A 6232-nucleotide genomic window follows, 5' to 3' on the forward strand; every position below is an offset into this window, starting at 1 on the left:
CCAACCAATCTGCAGCAGCGCAGAGGATGGGGAAACTGGGGTGGTTCCCAAGCACCAATGGGCATCTCAGGCTTCTGGAAGCCGGCACACTTGCTGGGCAACTCTGCTCGCTGCGGGTGTGGGAGCTGTAGCAAGTTCAAAGTCACCAACCCAGAAATCAGAGAAGACACTGGCCGCCTGTAATCTTCCTCCTGCAGGACGTGATTGTACAGTGATACCCAGTGTGGGGTTAATGTACACATCAGTGCAAAGACCTCAGTTGAAGTCTTGGCTTTTATACCTAACAAACTCAGTGACTTCCAAGAGGCATTTTTTATCCTCAGCCTTCAGTTGTCTTTGTAGGTGGCAGAACTAATATTTCAGCAGAGACGGTTGTTCAGGAAAAGCAGATGACATGTGGCTTTTTGTGTCTTTCACTTACGCTGCATTGGAGATGATTGAAAGTCCCTGATTTGTAAAATTCCAGGCTTTTGCTTTCTGAGTGTGCAGTATCAAATTAGTTGATGCATTCATTCAACAAACATCCAATGCATACCACTCTTTTTTTGTAATTTTCTTTTTTATTATTGTTATACTTTAAGTTCTGGGGTACATGTGCAGAACGTGCAGTTTTGTTACATAGGTATACACATGCCATGGTGGTTTGCTGCACCCATCAACCCATCACCTACATTAGATATTTCTCCTAATGCTATCCCACCCACAGCTCCCCACCCCCTCAAAGGCCCTGGTGTGTGATGTTCCCCTCCCTGTGTCCATGTGTTCTCATTGTTCAACTCCCACTTAGGAGTGAGAACATGCAGTGTTTGGTTTTCTGTTCCTGTGATAGTTTGCTGAGAATGATGGTTTCCAGCCTCATCCATGTCCCTACAAAGGACATGAACTCATCCTTTTTTTATAGCTGCATAGTATTCCATGGTGTATACGTGCCACATTTTCTTTATGCAGTCTATCATTGATGGACACTTGGGTTGGTTCCAAGTCTTTGCTATATACCCAGTACCGGGATTGCTGGGTCAACAGGTATTTCTAGTTCTAGGTCCTTGAGGAATCACCACACTGTCTTCCACAATGGTTGAACTAATTTAAACTCCCACCAACAGTGTAGAAGTGTTCCTATTTCTCCACATCCTCGCCAGCATGTGTTGTTTCCCGACCTTTTAACGACCACCATTCTAACTGGCATGAGATGGTATCTCATTGTGGTTTTGATTTACATTTCTCTAATGACCAGTGATCATAAGCATTTTTCCATGTTTGTGGCTGCATAAATGTCTTCTTTTGAGAAGTATCTGTTCATATCCTTTGCCCCTTTTTTGATGGGGTTCTTTCTTTCTTGTAAATTTGTTTGAGTTCTTTGTAGATTCTAGATATTAGCCCTTTGTCAGATGAACAGATGGCAAAAATTTTCTCCCATTCGGTAGGTTGCCTGTTCACTCTAATGATAGTTTCTTTTGCTGTGCAGAAGCTCTTTAGTTTAAATAGATCCCATTTGTCAATTTTGGCTTTTGTTGCCATTGCTTTTGGTGTTTTAGATATGATGTCTTTGCCCATGCCTATGTCCTGAATGATATTGCCTAGATTTTTTTTCTAGGATTGTTATGGTTTTAGGTCTTATGTTTAAGTCTTTAATCCATCTCGAGTTGATTTTTGTATAAGGTGCACGGAAGCAGTTCAGTTTCAGTTTTCTGCATGTGGCTAGCCAGTTTTCCCAACACCATTTATTAAATTGGGAATCTTTTCCCCATTGCTTGTTTGTGTCAGGTTTGTCAAAGATCACATGGTTGTATATTTTTCCCCCCAAACTTTGTATATTGAAGCGCTACCCTTCAGTACTTTAGAATGTGACTTTCTTTGGAAATAAGATCATTTGCATATGGACGCAAAAGGAAAGGCATGAAATCGATTCTACCTCACAGCCTCAGAAGAAATTAGCCCTGCTGGCTGGGTACGGTGGCTAACATCTGTAATCCCAGCACTTTGCGAGTCCGAGGCAGGCAGATCACTTCAGATCAGGAGTTCAAGAGCAGCCTGGTCAACATGGTGAAACCCCATTTCTACCAAAAATACAAAAATTAGCATAGTGTGGTGGTGCATCCCTGTAATCCCAGCTACTTGGGAGCCTGAGGAAGGAGAATTGCTTGAACCCAGAAGGCAGAGGTTTCAGTGAGCTGAGATTGCACCGCTGCACTCCAGACTTGGCAACGGAAACAAAGTGAGACTCCGTCTCAAAGAAAAGAACAGAGAGAGAGAGAGAGAGGGATATCAGCCCTGTCTGCCCCTTGATTTCAGACCTCCGTGCTCCAGAACTGTGACAGCTTAACTGTCTGTTTTGTAAGCCCCCTCCCCACTCAAGCATGTTTTCGTGACAGACCCAGGAAGCTAATATAGGAAACAACTGCTAATGAGATTTCTATTTCGGGCAGTGAAAATATCTTGGAACTAGTTAGAAGTGGTGGCCACACAACACTGTGAAAGCAGCAAGTACCCTGAATTGTTCACTTTAAAATGGTGAATTCTCCTGTCATCCTGGCACTTTGGGAGGCTGAGGCAGGTGGATCACCTGAGGTCAGGAGTTCGAGACCAGCCTGGCCAACACTGTGAAACCCGTCTTCACTAAAAATACAAACATTAGCCGAGTGTGGTGGCACATGCCTGTAATCCCAACTGCTTGGCAGGCTGAGGCATGAGAATCGCTTCAATCCGGGAAGCAGAGGTTAAAATGAAATGACAGCACGCCACTGCACTCCAGCCTGGGTGACAAAGAAAGACTCTATCTCAAAAAAAAAATCTTAATTCTAAGACTTGTGAATTTCACCTTAATAAAAAAAAAGTTTCCCAAAAAGTAGTGAGGAATTAGATTAAATGGTTAAATTCGGGAAAGCCTCTCAGATGAAATGAAGATGCAAAATAATTGCTACGATTTCCACCATGCCTAACATGTGCCAGTGTTGTAAGTATTTTACATGCTTCTTGAGGCAAGAGTAGATAAGCTTTCTGTAGAAGGTCAGGTAGTAAAGGCATTTCTCTTTGCAAACTGTATGGATTCTGCTGCAATATGTAACCAATATCTGTACAACTGGACTTTATTTATGGACATAAAAATTTGAGTGTCACATAATTTTCATGTATCATAAAATATTGTTGTTCTTTCATGTTTTAAAAATTATTCAGACATATAAAAACCATTTTTGGCTGGGTGCCGTACCTCATGTCTGTAATTCCAGCACCTTGAGAGGCAGAGACAGGCGGATCACTTGAGGCCAGGAGTTCGAGACCAACCTGGCCAACATGGTGAAACTCTGTCTCTACTGAAAATACAAAATGTAGCCGGGCGTAGTGGTGCATGCCTGTAGTCCCAGCTGCTCAGGTGGCTGAGGCAGGAGAATCGCTTGAACCCAGGGGCGGAGGTTGCAGTGAGCCGAGATCATGCCACTGGACTCCAGCCTGGGCGACGGAGTAAGACGCCATCTCAAAACAACAATAACGACAATAATACAAAAAAATTCTTACCTCGAAAGCTGTACAAAAACACACCGTGGGCAGATTTGGCTGCCGGGTTCTAGTTTGCCGACATCAAAGCTGTGTGTTGCGGGAGTCCTGAGAAACCCAGTTTTATCACCTCTGCTTCACTAAAGTATGGTCAGGGCAGGCCGTGTGCCCAGCGGTAATACACGCAGGCTCCAGATCAGAGCACGTTAGGGGAAAAGCACTCTACTTTACCGCTCGAAGCCTCAGCTGATCAAATGCTGGGAGCTCACAGACACGGCAGAATTTACAAAGCCGACTTTAATTTTCACATCCTCGATAACCTTAAAAAGCGTGAATGCATCTCCTTTTCAATGTTCGTGGGATGCTCCTGAAAATTCACAACTGCACTACAAAGAAAGCTTTAGCAAACTGTTTTTTTAAAGTAGAAACAAGACAGAAGACATTCTGTTGCTGTAAAATTGGAAATAAGAATATTCTAGGCCACGCATGATGGCTCACACCGGCGATCCCAGCACTTTAGGAGGCCGAGGCGGATGGATCACCTGAGGTCAGGAGTTTGAGACCAGCCTGGCCAACATGGTGAAACCACATTTCTACTACAAATACAAAAATTAGCTGGGTGTGGTGGCATGTGCCTGTAATCCCAGCTACTTGGGAGGCTGAGGCAGGAGAATCACTTGAACCGGAAAGGTGGAGATTGTAGTGAGCTTAGATCAGGCCACTGCACTCCAGCCTGGGGGACAGAGTAAGACTCTGTCTCAAAAACAAAATAAAAAGTAATAAAAAATAAAAGAATCAAGATATTCTTATTCTGTGTCACAGTAACTTCCTGACTTTGTGATTCACCCTGGCACACATACAGACATGGATACAACAGGTTTTTAGATATAAAATCATGAAAAAAATCGATCTGTTTCTTTCTCAGGAGCATTTGTGAGGAATGGGCATTAGGTACAAAGGTGCGTGCATGTTTCATTGTTTATGGACAATGCCTGTGATGGTTCATACTGACTGTCAACCTGATTGGACTGAGGGATACAAAGTATTGATTCTAGGTGTGTCTCTGAGAATCTTGCCAAAGGAGATTACCATTTGAGTCAGTGGGCTGGGAAAGGCAGACCCACCTTTAATCTGGGTGGGCACCATTTCATCAGCTGCATCATGGCTGGAATATCAGTGAGGAGAAAAATGTGAAAAGAGACACTAACCTAGCCTCCCAACAGACATCTCTCTCCTGTGCTGGATGCTTCCTGCCCTGGAACATCAGACTCCAAGTTCTTCAATTTTGGGACTGGGATTGAGTCTCTTTGCTCCTCAGCCTGCAGAATATACACACACACACACACACACACACACACACACACACACACATATATATGTATATATAAAATATAATATATTATATAATATAATGTATATTATATATTATATTATAATATATATTACATAATATACAATGTATAATATATTTATATATTATATAATACTACATAATATGTTATAATACATGATATACTATATTATACATTATATATTATATTATATAATTATTATATATTATATAATAAATAAGATATTATATATTATATTACATATAATACAATATATTATATAACATATATAATATATAATATACAATACTATATATAAAATATCTTATATATTATACATATTTATATATAAAATAATAATATATACATTATATATTATAATATATAATTATATATAAATATATAAATATATAATTATGTATAAATTATATAACATATAATTAATATATATTATAATAATATATATAAATTATATTATATATTATATTATATATTTAATATTTAATATATATAAATTTATATATATTATTTTTATATATGATATATAATATATAAATATATTTATAAAGAAATATATATTTATAAATAAATATCTATATGTATGAAGAAACATATATTTATAAGTAAATATCTATATGTATAAATAAATATATCTATATTTATAAATAAATATCTATATGTATAAATAAATATATATATTTATATATAAATAAATATTTAAATATATTTATACATATATTCATATATTTATATATATATTTATAAATAAATATATATATAAATAAATATATACTTATAAATAAATATATAAATAAATATATAAAATATATATAAAAATAAATATATTTATAAAAATATATATAAATATATATTTATAATAATATGTATTTATAAATAAATATATATATTTATAAATATATATTTATAAATATATATGTATAAATAAATAACTATATATTTATATATATATTTATAAATACATATATATTTATAAATATATATATAAATATATATATTTAGAGTATACATACTCTAAATATATATTTATATATATATTTATAAATATATATATTTTTTTATTATATATATATTTTATATATTTTTTATATATATAAATTATATATATAATTAATATATATATAAATTATATAAATATATTTATAAATATATAAAAATTAGTATATATAAAAATTAATAAATATATTTTTATTTATGTATAAATAAGTATATAAAAATAATAAATACAATATATAAATATAAATATAATGTATTATATATAATATATATCATATATTAAATATAATTAATATATTATTATATATGATTTAATAATCAATATATAATATTCTATATTAATATAATAATCAATATATTATTACATATAATATAATATGGTATAATAATATATA

The sequence above is a fragment of the Homo sapiens genome, chromosome Y (assembly GCF_000001405.40).
Source record: "Homo sapiens chromosome Y, GRCh38.p14 Primary Assembly".
NCBI lineage: Eukaryota > Metazoa > Chordata > Mammalia > Primates > Hominidae > Homo > Homo sapiens.